This window comes from Homo sapiens, chromosome 4 (assembly GCF_000001405.40).
Source record: "Homo sapiens chromosome 4, GRCh38.p14 Primary Assembly".
NCBI classification, from domain to species: Eukaryota; Metazoa; Chordata; class Mammalia; order Primates; family Hominidae; genus Homo; species Homo sapiens.
The window spans coordinates 55,543,157-55,559,421 of NC_000004.12; the positions used below are offsets into that span (position 1 = coordinate 55,543,157).

The following is a 16,265-nucleotide window of genomic DNA, read 5'->3' on the forward strand; positions in this document are numbered from 1 at the left end:
ATTCTCCCACCTCGGCCGCTCGAAGTTTACAGTGAATTAAATCTATACCAGATAAAACTCACATCAGTATGACCTCCCTTCAAACTCTGCAAATGCCTCCATAACAATTGGCCCCTCACTAGTGAAAAGATGAGTATGACCTATGGTCTATATCAGATGTTAAGCTTTCTGACAGGCTCCAAGTCATGTCCCTGTCCTGTAGGTAATAACAGAGCCCATACTGGAGGCAAAATGGCAAAGCAGATGATCATTCAAGATGATTCCGTTTTCAAGGCTGAAAAGAACATATTTGCAAATGCACAGAAAAAGATCTACAAGATCATACAGTGGTGTTAACAGTGTTACCCTTCAGTCAAGGGTATACGAGTAGCTGTGCTCCCTAGATTCCTCTGGGGAGGAATGTGAGCTAGAAGTGGATGTAAAGGGGTTGTCACTTATTATATATACACTGTATTAACTTTTTATGAGCATCAATTTACTTCTGTAATTTTAAAAATAAGAGTCCCAGCTACTCGGGAGGCTGAGGCAGGAGAATCTCTTGAACCTGGGAGCCGGAGGTTGCAGTGAGCCAAGATCGTGCCACTGCACTCCGGCCTGGTGACAGAGCAAGACTCCGTCTCCAAAAAAAAAAAAAATTGAAATGTAATTCCATTTTTAAAAAAGATTGAACGGACCCACATGGAATTCAAATGAAAAATAAGTGACACTTTGCAGAAGTCTATTAGAAAAACCTACATATCAAACAGAAATAATATAAGTATCCTATCCTACAAAATAAAAAGGAATACTGGTAATATTACAAAAATGCCCACAGCAACTGCAATCCATTACTCACTATTCACTACTTTCATTACACAATATTAGTCACCAGGGGGAGTTTGAGGGTCCCCTCCCAAAATTATATCTCATCTAACAGCTGCCTGTGCAGTCTTAACCTCATTAAACAGGTTTTCAACAATCCAGTCCTAAAAAAATGTTCATTTTGTACACTTTCATGAGAAACAACCAGACACACACACACACACACACACACACACACACACCCCAATTTACCTTTCACTGGGGTTCATGTTTGATTTCCTCAAAAGAAAGAAAAGTTTCCCAACCTGAAAAGCAAACTAACCTAGACAATCAAGTTTACTAGCACTTTAAGGGAATGTTCACATCCTCCTCATAATTGTTTGTCATGAAACTTTGGGGTTAAGTAAAATTTTACCCATCTATGACTCCTGAAAAAAAGAGGAGGGGGAAACACAAACTACACTCTGAAAGCAGCATAATCCAGCCATAATGCCAAATGTAAACAGTCATATATTTTAGCAAGGCAAGATATAACTAAACATCTTTAAAAGATAAATGCCTGTGACCTCTGCAATCTTAAAAATTAAAGTGTAAATAGTCATAAAAGGTATCCCAAACTTCCTTTTTAGTTGATTTTCCTAAAAAATATGAAAAGCAATCATATTGAAAATGACTCAAATCACCATAAATTAGGCAACAAAAATCACACAAATTATTTGGGGGAGGAGGATTTTTGTTTAATCCAGTTTATGAGTCCATAATACACACAAAAATTTGAAAACATGAAGACATACACATAATACATCTCATTTCCCACCATTCCCTCAGACTATTTCTCCCTCTCCTCTATTGTTAGTTTTCTAAATCCTCCCATAATTTCTTTATATAAAGAGCAAACATAAACTTGTATTATTACACCTCGCCCTTAAGATGTAACACACTATTCACAAAGTACCGCTACACCTTGCTTTTTTCACTTCATAGCAAATTTTTGCAATCTTTGCATGTTAGTACGTAGAAAGCTTCCTTATTCTTTTTTCATAACTGATTACGCCTAGCTTTAGAACATTTTCAGTCTGCTTTCTTCAGGCTAACTTTTTTTTTTTTTACTTTTTTTATTATTATACTTTAAGTTCTAGGGTACATGTGCACAACGTGCAGGTTTGTCACATATGTATAAATGTGCCACGCTGGTGTGCTGCACCCATTAACTCGTCGTTTACATTAGGTATTTCTCCTAATGCTACAGGCTAACCTTTCAAGACATTCTGTTCAGCCAACCACTTATCACAGGAATTAATTTCCTTCCCCCAAGCTTTGAAAACCAATCAGATTTGAGGTGTCCCAAGGGATAAGTTTCAGAGAAAGCAATTCATTATCTAAATTACATCCTTTTAAGAATGTTTATTTTCAAACAGGTAGAGGGGAATATTGCACAATTTTCTCTAATCGCTTAAAGCTACAAATCAGAACGCAATCTTCAAAGTGAAATTACCTTTGATTTGGGGGGATCAGCGTTATAGTCAAATCAACGACTGTAAAAGTTTACTTCTTGTGCTTTTCTTCCACTGTAAAAATTTTTTTATTTTTTAAAGAAGGCTAAAAAGCCTTAAAGTCTAATAGCACGGCATTCTAATAGCAGGAAACCACAATCTGATTTGATCTTTCATCTGCCAGGTCAGAGACTAGGCTTTTATCTTGCAGAATTAGGCTCACCTACCATCAACAAGAGGACCTCTACAAAGCTACAAACACTTTCAAAGAATATAAACTCTGCGGCGCTGCGTGTAGGAAATTACACTCCAGGGGCCAGAGCGCCAGAGCCAACTCCAGAAAACCCAGCTTCACTGGCGGAAAGAAATCTACAAACGCCAGCGGCGGTGACGGGGAACGGGAAGCGCGGGTGGACGGAAGAAGAGAAACCGAGCGCCTCGCCGCCAACCCTCGAACCCGCGCGCGGTCGCTGGAGTCAGACGCTAATAGCCGCGCGCTGCCTAGGAACGGAACCCCGGAACCACCACCACTAACGGAACCAGCCCGCGGCCGGCAACGGCGGCCGTTCGGACTGCGGACTGCGGCACGCGGGCCGGGCGCCGGGAGGGCGGGGGTTCCCCGGAGGAGCTGGCCGCCCCGGCGCCCCATTGGGCGCTGCTCCAAACGTGCCCGAGTGGTGACAGGAATAAAGTGGGTCACAAGGCCTAGCGGGTCCCCAGCGAAAGCTCTCTCGGCACCCGGTCCCCGTCTTTCCCCGCCTCCCAGCTGCTGGAATCGGCCGCAGCTCCGGGCGCCCTCAAGCCGCCCGGCCCCGCCGTGCACCCCACTCCCGCCCCTGCCCCGCAGGTAACCCCAGCTGCCCCAGAGGGCCTCTCAGGCAGGGCGGGCCTCGGCCCGAAGTCCCGGGAAAAGACACACTAGAACGACACGCCAAACTTGGGCTTCAGCTCCCGCCTTCCCCACCCTTGGCCGCCGCCCCCCGGCCCCACACACGCCGCCCCCCGCTCCCTCCCCTTCCCCGCGCCCTCACCGTGTGGCTTGCGGCGGCTCCGGCTTCTTCCCTCCCCCACCCAGGTCTCCCGCTGCGGTGACTCGGAACCACTACCCCGCCTGTGTCCAGGAGGCGCCGCGGCTCCCACCTCCAGCAGCACCTGGGGCTGTGAGTGGCGCCCCCCACCCACCCCCCCAAAAATTCGCCGCTCCTGTGGCCAGCTCCTCCTCCCCCTCCCTTCCCTTCCCCTCCTCCACCAGCCCAGGAGCGCGCATGCGCCGCCAAGGAAGCCAACCGGCACTCGGCAGGCCCTGGGCCCACCGGGCGGGCGCCTCTCACCGGGAGCGCTCGCGGCGGCGGCGGCCAGATTTCCTTCGCGCTCTCGCTCTCCGGGGTTTCCTTTTTTAAACCGGCAGCCGCAAGCCGAGTCCGTGATTGCGCCCCCTCCCGGCGCATGCGTCGTCAGCGACCCCGCGGGCTCAGACGGCCGGCGGAGGCTCTGCGCTCGCCCCTCCCCTCACTCTCCCTTTCCCCAGCGCGGCTCGGTGCGCATGCGACTTGCCCCGTTAGGCAGCACGGAGCCGCGCCAGGGGATCCCGGACGCCCGAAGAGACTCCCGCGCCCCTTGGGCCGAAATCTGGCTCTGCAGGCGCACCGTTCCCTGCCCCGGCCGGGAACGGCGCCGGTTACTAGAAAGCCGGGGAGGCGGGGCCTGGTCGGGTGGAGGGCGCGGCCGGCCGGCAGAGCGCTAGCCTTAGGTCCTGGAGGCTCTTTGGCTTTCCCCCCGTATGCCGGGGGCTAGGAGGAGGAAGAAGAGCTTCCTGCCGGATGAGGGATCCAGAGGCCAGAAAAGGAACCCGCTCTCCCTTCCAAAGCAAAACACTGCCGACGCCAGCTTAGATTTTTCGGGTGTTGGCAGGAGACTTTTTCCCCCAGTGGCATCATTCGTGTTTCCTCTCCTGGTGCTGGGAGAGAAGAGTTGCAAAGGCGCCTGGACCGCCAGTAACATCTTCTCCCATCTCCTGAGGGAGCGCGGCTTGGGTTGCTTCTTCTTGGTGGGTGGGCCTGGGGAGACAGGGCATGCGCCCTCGGCCAGAGGAGGGAAGCGAAAGGAGGTCGGGATTTATTTGCTCATTTGGAGATTTTTCCCTTGCCCTTTTATTAAAAATCAAGTGACAGTGTAATGGAAGATGGAGAATGAAGCATCAGAAATAAACCAGGACCCTAATTTGCATGGATTTCCTCGTTGGAACAACGTGTGACTACTACTTATCTTCGGGAAATTACTTATCTTGATGCGTTAAGGCACATTTGGTCCACATGAGAAAGCACATTTCAGTGCTTCTACTGGAAAAGAGATCTTTACAGTCTTAATTCCTAGTAATTCCTATGTTTTAATGAATATCTTTTGGATTTGAAATAAAAGCCATCTTTTTCTTTCAAAAAATGCACTTTTCTGGCCGTAAAATCCTCCCTTTAAAGTAACAGTCACCTCAGTAAACATTTTCAATTCTTGCTGTATGCTCTGGGCAAAAGAACATCAAACTGAAGCACTTATTCAGATCCTTGATCCTGCACCTAAGGATTTTTCTTTCAGGAGTGGGAAAACATGATTTGTTAATTTACCCCATCATATAGCAGAAGATATTTTGGTCGACATTTTTGCCTGTTCAGCATTCATTCCCTATTCTGATAATTTCTTTTGAAGAACTATCATTTATCCACTCTCAGTCCATATGGTCTGAGCAGGACACAAGGGGAAGGCATATTTGAGTTTAATCCTCGGTTGCAAACTACGGTTCCTAAGAAGGGTGTTACGTCTTTACCAATGGGTTTAAATCTGGGAGAATGGAGACCTGGAGCCATCTTTCCACACGTGAATTCTGAGAAAGAAGGCAACACGGAAAAAAAGCAGATTTGAAGACAGGTTTGGCCTAAAGACATGTTTGAGGCCTGGAAACAAATGTAGATTAGATTCCTCTGGAAATTTCGTTAAACCAGTCAGTAAATTCTTGCATCTGTTTTATTGCTTAAACCAGTGAGAGGTTTTCTTTCACATGTAATCAAGAGTCCCGACTGACAAGAGGTAGGTAGCAAGACGGAGGCAAAGTTATTAATACTGATAAGGTAGGTTGCAGCCAGACAAGAGAGGGCTTGAATGCTTTCCCTAGGATGGATTTTTGAATTTTATTCTAGAGACACTGATCCCTCCTTATATTCCCCATCATCTAGAACATATTATCTTCAAAATACCTTTGCCCTTTTTAATGATTTCATTGTCCTCTCAGTCACCAAGATCAAACCATGTCCATCTTTGACTCCTCCCTCTTTCACTGTATTTAATTATTTACCAAGACCTGTTGATAATCCCCCGTTTTTCTGCTCAGTCCTCTCTCACTGCTTGAACATTTCCCATGGTTCAGTTCACAGCTTCTCCTTTCTCCCACATTCTCTCCAAGAAAAGAAAAAATGTACTGGATATGTCTTTTTTTTGAGACAGATTTTTTGAGACAGAGTCTTGCTCTGTTGCCCAGCTGGAGTACAGTGGCATGATCTCAGCTCACTGAAACCTCTGCCTCCCGGGTTCAAGCAATTCTTGTGCCTCAGCCTTCCAAGTAGCTGTGATTACAGACTCCCACCACCACACCAGCTAATTTTTGTATTTTTAGTAGAGATGGGGTTCCACCATGTTGGCCAGGCTGGTCTTGAACTCCTGGCCTCAAGTGATCCACCCACCTCAGCCACCCAAAGTGCTGGGATTAACAGGCGCGAGCCACTGTACCCAGCCTGTATTGGATATTTCCAATAGCTTTTCCAACTTCCAGATCCCACATTTCCATAAAACAAAAATCCTGCCTCATAATTTCATAGCTCCTAAATTTATATTCCATAGCCTTAAACATAATTTCAGATATTCTGTTCACCCTTTCTTGTGAACCTTGCTATCATTTAAACTGAGTATTTCCAACTCCTCTGTCAACTGATTTCCCCCAGTTGGTAGGCAACGTATCATAGTGGTTAAGAGTACAAAATTAGGATCTTAACTGCCTGGATTTAAATCATAGCTTCACCACTAATATTCTGCATGACTTTAAGCAAGTTATTTCTCTGTTCTTTAATTTCGTCATCTTTAAAATGGGATAATTACAATCCTATCTCATAGCTTAACCGAGACAGTGTGTGTGTCTGTGTGTGTGTAATTTTATCTGGTACATAAGAAATCCCATAGAAATGTTGGCTATTCTTGTCAATGATGTTCCTTTTTGGGTAATTTTCATGTCTCTTTTGCTCTAATTCTTGCCCTAACTCCTATGTCCCATCAGTCACAAAGTCATATCTGTTCTTTCATAGTAACTCATCCATTCATTGACATTCCTAGTTTTACTACCATACTTTAAGGTGAATTGGAGAACAGGAAGCTTTAAGATATGCTTAATAGAGAATATAAGGTTAAGTATTTTTTTAAAGCTTGCATAGTTTATTCAGTTACTCATATTCTTTCTAATCCCTTTAAAATGGAACTACAAAACCCTGCCTCATAGTTGAGGTAGTATTATAGACTTTGTGGTCAAAACTCTTGGCTTAAATTCTGACTCATGCTGAGAGATAGTGAGCAAATCAAGTAATTCCTCTGAGCTTCAGGTACTTATCTGTAAAGTTACAAGACTAGGCATTTCAGAGAACTGTGATGATCAAAGGTAAATTAAACTGCTACATAAAGGCTAGGTGGTGACGATGGTGGTTGTAAATCTTTACAATTTCTTGTTGGAACCCTAAGAATAGTTGAAATGACTCACAGATTTTTAACTCCAGCCTTCACTTCTCCCTTGGGCTCTATACACACGTCTGTTTATCTACCTGATGTCTCTTCTTCTGTATCACAAATATCTTGGATGCTTCTTTCAATCTATTCTCCACAGAGCAGTCAAATTATTTTGAAAATATAAGTGAAGTCACATTATTTTCTTCTAAAACCCCTTTTGTCATTTCCCATTACATACAAATTCCTAATTATGGTCACAATAACCTGTTTGATCTGGCCCCTCCCTACCTCTCCAACCTCATGTCTTACCATTTTTTTCCTTTTCCTGTGACACTCCAACCCAGAAACTGCCTTTCATTTCTTTGCTAATTTATCTCTGCTCTCAGGCTTTCATGCATGCTGTGCCCTTGCCTGGACCCCTCCTACCTTTTCTCATGGCTGGCTCCTTCTCAACCATCACATCTCAAAGATCTAACTACCCTATTTAAGTAGGTCTCCCTCCAACACCCCACCTGCCCCCCCACCACCAATAATATCCAAAGTTATTCTCTTCTGTTGTGTCCAGTTTCCCCCATAATACTTAAGTTTAAATTATGTATATATTAGTTATATGTATATATGATATTTGTTTTCTTATTAACTATTTTCCCTACCACCACAAGATAAACTCCAGAAGGGCGAGAACCATGTGTTTTCTTTGCCACTATACGTGTAGCATCCATTTCAATACCTCAGGTGAGCTGGGTAGAGTGACACGTACATGTAGTTCCAGCTGAGCCGGGAGGATTGCTTGAGCCCAGGAGTTAAGGAACAGCCTGGGCAATGTAGCAAGACCCCATCACTAAAATAAATTAATTAAAATTTAAAAATAAAAACCAGGTTGGGTGTGGTACCTCAAGTCTGTAATCCCAGCACTTTGGGAGGCCAAGGCAGGCAGATCACTTGAGGTCAGGAGTTTGAGACCAGCCTGGCCAACATGGTGAAACCCTGTCTCTACTAAAAAATACAAAAAAATTCGCCAGGTGTGGTGGTGCATGTCTATAGTCTGAGGCTTAGGCAGGAAAATCACTTGAACCTGGGAGGCAGTATCTGCAGTGAGCCCAGTTCGTGCTGCTGCACTCCAGCCTGGGTGACAGAGCAAGAGTCAGTCGAGGCAGGATAATCACTTGAACCTGGGAGGCAGAGGCTGCAGTAAGCCCAGATCGTGCTGCTGCACTCCACCCTGGGTGACAGAGCAAGTCTGTCTCAAACAAACAAAACCACCAATGCCTGAGGTGAATGAATGATTTAATGAGTGAATGAAATGCCAGAAAGATGATTTTTAGAATCATCTTTGTCCCAAATTATGACTGTAGGCAGATTATTGTCAAGGGGTAGCCTTAGTAATGTGCATGAAAGTGTGTCCGGAATTTATTCCTTCCGGTGGGTTCCTGGTCTCACTGACTTCAAGAATGAAACCATGGACCCTTGCAGTGAGTGTTACAGCTCTTAAAGATGGTGTGTCTGGAGTTTGTTCCTTCAGATGTTCAGATGTGTCCAGAATTTCTTCCTTCCAGTGGGTTTGTGGTCTTGCTGACTTCAGGAGTGAAGCCGCAGACTTTTACAGTGAGTGTTACAGCTCTTAAAGGTGGTGTGTCCGCAGTTTGTTCCTCCTGGTGGGTTCATGGTCTCGCTCACTTCAGGAATGAAGCTGCAGACCCCCACAGTGAGTGTTACAGCTCATAAAGGTAGTGTGGACCCAAACAGTGAGCAGCAGCAAGAGTTATTGTTAAGAGTGAAAGAACAAACCTTCCGCAGTGTAGAAGGGGGGGCCGAGCAGGTTGCTGCTGCTGGATTGGGTGCCAGCTTTTATTCCCTTATTTGGCCCCGCCCACATCCTGCTGATTGGTCCATTTTACAGAGCACTGATTGGTCCATTTTACAGAATGCTGATTGGTCCATTTTACAGAGTGCTGATGGTGCGTTTACAATCCTTTAGACACAGAGTGCTTTAGACATAGAGTGCTGATTGGTGTGTTTACAATCCTTCTTAGCTAGACACAGAATGCTGATTGGTGCGTTTTTACAGAGTGCTGACTGGTGCATTTACAATCCTTTAGCTAGACACAGAGCGCTGATTAGTGCATTTACAATCCTTTAGCTAGACACAAAAATTCTCCAAGTCCCCACCCAACCCAGAAGCCCAGCTGGCTTCACCTCTCAAAAGTACAAAAGAGAAGCAAACTAAAATCAGTCAGTGAAATATGATGTGACTAATACCGTTCTAGTGATTGAATACTTGAGAACCAGCAAGAATATGTAACACTAATAGATACAGCTAATACTTGTAAAAAAGATGCTGACTGAAATCTAAAATAGGGTACAAGTGCATGAAGTACCTCAACTTCTAAACAGCTGCCAACATTTGGGGTCAGATACCCACTCCTTCACCCAAGGATAAAAGTTGGACAAAAAGGGATCTACCATAGCCAAAACCTCCAACTCTCTACCCTCAGACCACATAAGTTCAACACTTGGCAAGAGGAAAAACACCTGACAGAATCACTGAAGCCAGGTTCCTGGGGTGTACTATGGTTTTTCCTTTCCTTTTTATGCCTCACCCTATCCCAAGTGAACAAGACTCCAACAGAATCAGCTAGGTGACTATGAGGGAGGGAGAGTGGCATCTCATTCACTATCAAACTTGCTGATATTGCCTTGTACCTACATGAAACAGGAAAAGAGTTGGAGAAATAGCTGGCCAGGGAGTGGGCTGAAATAAAGCAATCTGCAACATCTACCATGTGGTATAGCAAGGATACCGAGGATGTGTAAGTTTCTCATGGGTCAATCGATGCTGCGTAGAAAATGCTGTCCAGGTTTGAACTATCTTGATCCTGAAGGGGGAAAGAAATTCTAGCAGCAAGAGGCTGGATTTACTTCTGGGAGAGGAAACTAAGAGAGTTAGCAGAGATAGAGCTAAGACTGCTCCATCGCCTGTGTTGATCGAGGGACTGTGCAGTTGGGAAGCTGTTTCAGAGTTTCTAGGAGAACTCAATGTGCCCCATTAAAGAGTGAACATTTGGATGCAGTATTCATTGTACAGTTAAGGAAAATTTATCCCTTTCATCCCTATTCTCTCTCCCAGTCCCCAACACTAGAGGGATAGGCCCTGAAAGTGTTACTGATAGAGGGTCTTGACTGCAAGGTGTCCAAGTTCTTTGCGTTTTGAACTAAGAATTGGACAAAACGCCCCGCAAAGAAAGAATAAAGCAACTAAAGAACGAAAGCAGGGATTTATTGAAAATGAAAGTACACTTCACAGTGTGGGAGCCGGCGTGAGTAGTGGCTCAGAATCTTCTCCGGTCCAAATACCCGCTAGAGGCTTCCCATTGGCCACTTCATTTCATGAAGTGGTGGCTTGCAATTGGTCTGAGTGGTTGCCAAAAGCAAGCAATCAGAGGCTAAGGTGAAGTTACAAAGTTGCAAACGAACTCTCAGCCAGCAAGCAGTGTGATTGGTTGCAGACAGCCAATTTCCCATCTGCCACGCACAGAAGGTGGGGGTTTGCAAAGTAGCCTCTGGTCCTTTTGTTACTTAGGCATGGCAAGTTAGGGTTTTCCTTTAAATCTGGCTCTAAGAAGTTGGAGTGAAACAGCCTTAGGTTCCCTGCCTCCAGACCTTATTCTCCTGCCTCAAAAGGAGAGGGAAAAACTGGTTAAAAACCCCACCTTTCATCTTCAGAGTTGCTTAAGTCACGAGTTCAGCCAGAGAATGTTTGCTTGGAACTGACACTGGAGTGTTCAACTAGACAGACTTAATAACCCACACTGTGGGATGGGTAAAAGAAGTTGCTCAGGTTGTCTTTAAAGGATTTGCTGTGTAGTGCTTCTCGAATTTTAATGTGCGTGTCACCTGGAGATCTCATTAAAATGAAAATTATGATTCAGTTAGTCTGGGATGGGGCCAGAGATTCTGCATTTCTAACAAGCTCCTTAGGAATGCTGCTGATTCTAGGACCACATTTACCACATTTTGACAAAAAAGGCACTATAGAGAAGGGAGATTCAATAGAGCACACTTGGCAAAAATAGACAAAAATATTAGGATAAAATATCAATTTTTATAGATCAAAAAATGACTGAATATTGGCAATTAAAAAAACTAACTTTGTACCCCATTGAATATTCATTCAGTAAAATGGGGAACAATATTACATATTAAATAATTTCTGCATATCCTGACAAATATTTTTACCCTAGTCAAATGAGAATGTATACATGAAGCACTGTATGGAAGTAGTAGTGACCTGTGTTGGTAGGCATCAATCAGTCCTTGCTAAAAGAATGTGTGTGTGCACTTTGCTAAAGAGCGGGGCTGAAATCACAAGCAGTCAGTTCTAACATGATATAATTTTATTATTTTTACAAATGTCAAAGTCTCCAGAACTGTTTGTGGGTAAAAACTTACTGCCACCTGGTGGATCTGAGTTAAGACAAAGGGAAATAGATATCTTTTTTAAGCTCTCCTAAATACTATTATTATTTCCTTTGTTCTTTTAACTTTAAAAAGAAAACAAATATGTATTTACTTTTTAAAAGACTACATTTGGGGGAATTTCTGCATTTGGTTTCAATTGGAGGGGAAAATAATGTATATGAATGTTATTTTGATAAATATGGTTATATGCATTAGATGTTATATGCATTATAGGCATTAGAGTTACATTGTAACTTTAGAAGATGGCTCTTCCTTTCATTTCCACGGCTGTTTTTATCCTGAATAGTAACTTATCCATCCATTTCTGGAAGGTTCAGGAATTGGATAAATAAAACTAGATAATTACCTGAAGTGTGTGTAATGCTGTAATAAAGACCACTGTGTGTGACCTCTCTGAACTTTCCTCCATCTAGTCCCAAGATGTATCTCAGAAGAATTTTCCTAATCCTTCCCAGAATTAGATCAATTGATTTCACCTGGTGAAATAAATTCTCATTACCTTACTCAAATGTGTATTTAACTTTCCTTCCACTTCATGATTCTCTGTAGCCTCTAAGATCCCTAAACCCCCACCAATAGCAAGAAAGAGCCTTTTCTTGACTCAATGTTCAACTGCCTCAATTCTCACCAATTTATTTTTGTAATCTAGGCATTTAAACCTAGTCTAGATTCTCTTACAAATATCAGTGAACATCCATAATGAGAATTATGGATCATGAATACAAACAAAGTAGAAAAAAATCTGTTACTGAACTATTATATGCTGGATTTACCAACCTTTCCTCTAAAAGTGATGTTCATTATTATGCCAAGACGAAACATCCTATAGGCCTTCTGCAGTGTACTAATGTATATTTTCTCATGATGAATTCTTCTGTGATTACTGTTAAAATATAAGTCATCCTACAATATATTTTTCTCACCTCTGCTCAGGATTTAGAAACTTACATGGTGTAGTGTTCTAATGATTCTATACTTTAACTATTAATGAGAATACTTAGTAATTTTCTAACTTAATAGTAACTACTCAGAACGATAATAATGAATAGAGATGTTTTTTATGTACTTTTCAGAATCTATTAATTGCATTATGCTATTAAGTGGTTAATGTTTTAATAGGTAAGGGATTCCAAAGAAAAAGCATTATGGCCATAAATTTAAAACTTTTTACTTAAGTCTCTAGATTTTAAAATGTGTTGACTTAAATAAAATTTCATGGTTTTCTTACATTGCTTTAATTTGTAGTTCTCTTTGGAAGTGAGTAAGCAAGAAAGGTCTTGTAACATTTGTGTTTTTGTCCAACATGTGTTAGAAAAAGGATAAACCACAGAAAAATACCAAAGGCTTAACACAAATTCTGTTTTTTTGTTTTGTTTTGTTTTGTTTTGAGATGGAGTTACGCTCTTGTTGCCCAGGCTAGAGTGCAATGACGTGATATCGGCTCACCACAACCTCTGCCTCCTGGGTTCAAGCGATTCTTCTGCCTCAGTCTCCCAAATAGCTGGGATTATAGGCACGTGCCAAGACACCCAGCTAATTTTTGTATTTTTAGTAGAGACGGGGGTTTCTCCATGTTGGTCAGGCTGGTCTTGAACTCCCGACCTCAGGTGATCTGCCCGCTTTGGCCTCCCAAAGTGCTGGGATTACAGGCGTGAGTCACGACGCCTGGCCGCCAAATACTATTTTTTTCAGAGGCAATGAATATTCTGAAATGCCTGGAAATTTTTAAAATGACATATATGCCATAATTCTAATATAAAAATGAAAATAAAATAAATCTATTTATGACTTTTCTGATCCCTAATATAAAAGCAGTCATAAGTAAAACATTCAGTACACATATACTAAAAGCTATTTATTGAATATTTCTCTCTATTTGGTATCATTATCACTGTTGGAGCTATCACTGTCATCATGAATAGAAGTGTTTCTAATTGAAGATACCATCATATCTACCATGTCTTTTCTGGGGTTTTCTTCCAAATCAGTCTGTATTGCTCCAACTTCTGCTAGCTTCCATTCAAGTTCTGTAATAAATAACCCATCATTCAGTTAAAAATCTTGAAAAAATGAATAATTTTTCATCTATATGAAACAAGAGTTGACTCTTAGTAATATTACCATGGAAATGATGATATATTTATTTATAGGTTTTTTTTTCTTTTTTGAGACAGAGTCTCCCTCTGTCACCCAGGCTAGAGTGCAGTGGCACAATCTTGGCTCACTGCAACCTCCACCTCCCAGGTTCAAGTGATTCTCATGCCTCAGCCTCCTGAGTAGCTGCAATTACAGGTGCACGCCACCACACCCAGCTAAGTTTTGTTATTTTTTTAAGTAGAGTCAGGGTTTCACCATGTTGGCCAGGCTGGTCTCGAACTCCTGACCTCAAGTGATCCCCCTACCTTGGCCTCCCAAAGTGCTGGGATTACAGGCGTGAGCCACCACGCCCAGCCTGATGATATCTTTAGAACCGGGTGACAGTAAAAGTGCTACAATATCAAAATACACATTGGATACAGCAAAGTTATACTGAAAGGGAGAAATTATGGTTAAACTGGGTCTTAGTCTGTTTTGTGATAACAGAATACCTGTGACTTGAGTAATTTATAAAGAACAGAGATTTATTTCTTATACTTCCGGAGGCTGGGAAGTACATGGTTGAGGGGCCTGCATCAGGTGAGGGCCTTCTTGCTGAAGTTATCCCATGGCAGAATTCAAGTGAGTTAGAGAAGGTGAGTGAGAGAGAGCAAGACAGGGCTGAACTCACTTTTAAAACAAACCCATTCTCATGACAACAACTCCATTTCTGCAATAATGACATTAATCCATTCATGAGGGCAGAGACCTCATGACCTAATCACCTCTTAAGGTCCCACTTCTCAACACTGTTTTACTGGGGATTACTAATTTTGGGGGACACATTCAAATCATACCATTCCACCCCAGCCCCCAAAATTCATGTCCTCTCACATGCAAAAGACATACATTCTATCCCAGTAGCCCCCAAAGTCTCAACTTGTTCCAACATCAACTCAAAGGTCCAGAGTCTCATCTAAATCAGATATAGGTAAGACTCAAGACACAATTTATACTGAGGCACATTTCCCTCCAGCTGTGAGCCTATAAAATTAAACAAGTTGGCCGAGCGTGGTGGCTCACACCTGTAATCGCAGCACTTCGAAAGGCTGAGGAGGGCGGATCACCTGAGGTAAGGAGTTCAAGACCAGCCTGGCCAACATTGTGAAACTCCATCTCTACTAAAAATACAAAAAAAAAAAAAAAAAAAATTAGCTGGGCGTGGTGGCAGGCACCTGTAATCCCAGCTACTCAGGAGGCTGAGGCAGGAGAATCGCTTGAACCCAGGAGGCAGAGGTTGTAGTGGGCCGAGATCGAGATCGCGCCATTGCACTCCAGTTGGGCAACAGTGCAAGACTCCGTCTCAAAAAAAAAAAAAAAAGAATGAAGTGAAATTTTAATAAATGGTGTTGAAACAATTGCATTTTCTTACAGAAAAAAAGTAGACACATTCCTGATATGGTTTGGCTATGTCCTCACCCTAATCTCACCTTGAACAATAGTTCTTATAATCCCCACGTGTTGTGGGTGGGAGGTAATTGAATTATGGGGGTTGTTACCTCCATGCTGTTCTCTTGATACTGAGTGAGTTCTCATAAGATCTGATGGTTTTATAAGGGGCTTTTTCCCCACTTCACTTAGCTCTCATTCTTCTCCTTCCTGCTGCCATGTGAAGAAGAACACGTTTGCTTCCCATTCTGCCATGATTGTAAGTTTGCTGAAGCCTCCCCAGCCATGCTGAACTGTGAGTCAATTAAACCTCTTTCCTTTATAAATTACCCAGTCTCAGGTATGTCTTTATTAGCAGCGTGAAAATAGACTAATACAATACCTTACATCAAATGATACACAAAAGCCCAATGTTATTCAAGACCTAAGCTCAAAAATGAAACTTTAAAACTCTTAGAAGAAAGTATAGGAGAATATATTTTTCACCTTGGGAATACAGAAAGCTTTTCAAAAGAAAGCACGAAACATGCAAAGTAAAGAAAAAGATTAATAATTTTCACTATGCCAAATCATAACTTTTATCTGACAATTGAAATGATAAGCCATAACTGGTGAGAATATATTAGTAATACTATAAAAATAGTATCCAGAACTTTACATACACATTCATGCACACATACCCACTCTTATAAATCAATGAAACAACATATGCACACACACGCACTCTTATAAATCAATGAAAAAACACAAATGACAAAATGGACAAAGTATATAAACAGGAGAGGAAATCAGAATGACCAATGCATATGAAAAAATCCATAACCTCACTTGTAATCAGGGAAATCCACATTTAAACAATGAAATGATACCAACTTCATATCCATCAGATTGACCAAAAAACCAATAGTCTAAAATTAACAAGAACTGGTGAAGATGTGGGTATATCTTCAAACACCGATGGAAGGATAAATTGATACTTTCATTTACAGAGCAATCTATCAACTATCAAGTGAAGTTGAAAATGTGTATACCTTATGATCCCACAATTCTCCATATATCCTTGAGAAAATTTTTACAGGTGGGCACAACAATGGTCACAGCAGAATTGTTCATAATGGGAAAATTGGAAACTCACATTTCACACAGTAGGGGAATGATAAATTGAGGAATAGCTGATTATAGAATGCTAGACAGGAGATAAAGTTATTGAAT

At 42.4% G+C, this 16,265-nt stretch overlaps 2 protein-coding genes and 1 long non-coding RNA gene across 20 annotated transcripts in view, besides 3 other annotated features; 1 reads left to right on the forward strand and 2 right to left on the reverse strand.

The window, feature by feature from the left end:
• CLOCK (clock circadian regulator) overlaps positions 1-3,753 on the reverse strand; it is a 119,007-nt gene extending 115,254 nt beyond the window's left edge. For 7 of the 16 annotated variants that reach the window (XM_011534411.3, XM_047416439.1, XM_047416437.1 and 4 more), the window contains exon 1: positions 3,326-3,460. The gene's annotated coding sequence lies outside the window, so the exon portion shown is untranslated. Of the gene's footprint in view, positions 1-2,296; positions 2,831-3,325; positions 3,461-3,625 lie in introns of those variants that run through there. The other 9 variants (XM_011534410.3, XM_047416432.1, XM_047416436.1 and 6 more) reach the window with 3 other exon arrangements.
• On the forward strand, positions 2,709-4,733 carry LOC124900704 (uncharacterized). Its single transcript, XR_007058122.1, has 2 exons — positions 2,709-3,454; positions 4,460-4,733. It is a non-coding gene; the product is annotated as an uncharacterized LOC124900704 (long non-coding RNA).
• Positions 2,749-3,378: a silencer, noted in NCBI's record as "silent region_15440". NCBI's record gives its function as "represses an Ori minimal core promoter by ATAC-STARR-seq in GM12878 lymphoblastoid cells {active_cell/tissue: GM12878}" and the evidence as "EXISTENCE:reporter gene assay evidence [ECO:0000049][PMID:35858748]".
• Positions 3,499-3,598: a silencer, noted in NCBI's record as "silent region_15441". NCBI's record gives its function as "represses an Ori minimal core promoter by ATAC-STARR-seq in GM12878 lymphoblastoid cells {active_cell/tissue: GM12878}" and the evidence as "EXISTENCE:reporter gene assay evidence [ECO:0000049][PMID:35858748]".
• Positions 3,659-4,028: a silencer, noted in NCBI's record as "silent region_15442". NCBI's record gives its function as "represses an Ori minimal core promoter by ATAC-STARR-seq in GM12878 lymphoblastoid cells {active_cell/tissue: GM12878}" and the evidence as "EXISTENCE:reporter gene assay evidence [ECO:0000049][PMID:35858748]".
• An 8,629-nt stretch (positions 4,734-13,362) lies between the features above and the next one.
• PDCL2 (phosducin like 2) overlaps positions 13,363-16,265 on the reverse strand; it is a 35,727-nt gene continuing 32,824 nt past the window's right edge. For all 3 annotated transcript variants that reach the window (XM_005265728.4, NM_152401.3, XM_011534374.3), the window contains one exon: positions 13,363-13,555. In XM_005265728.4, the coding sequence (XP_005265785.1) occupies positions 13,549-13,555 (7 nt within the window). In that variant the 3' untranslated portion in view covers positions 13,363-13,548. The remainder of the gene's footprint in view (positions 13,556-16,265) is intronic.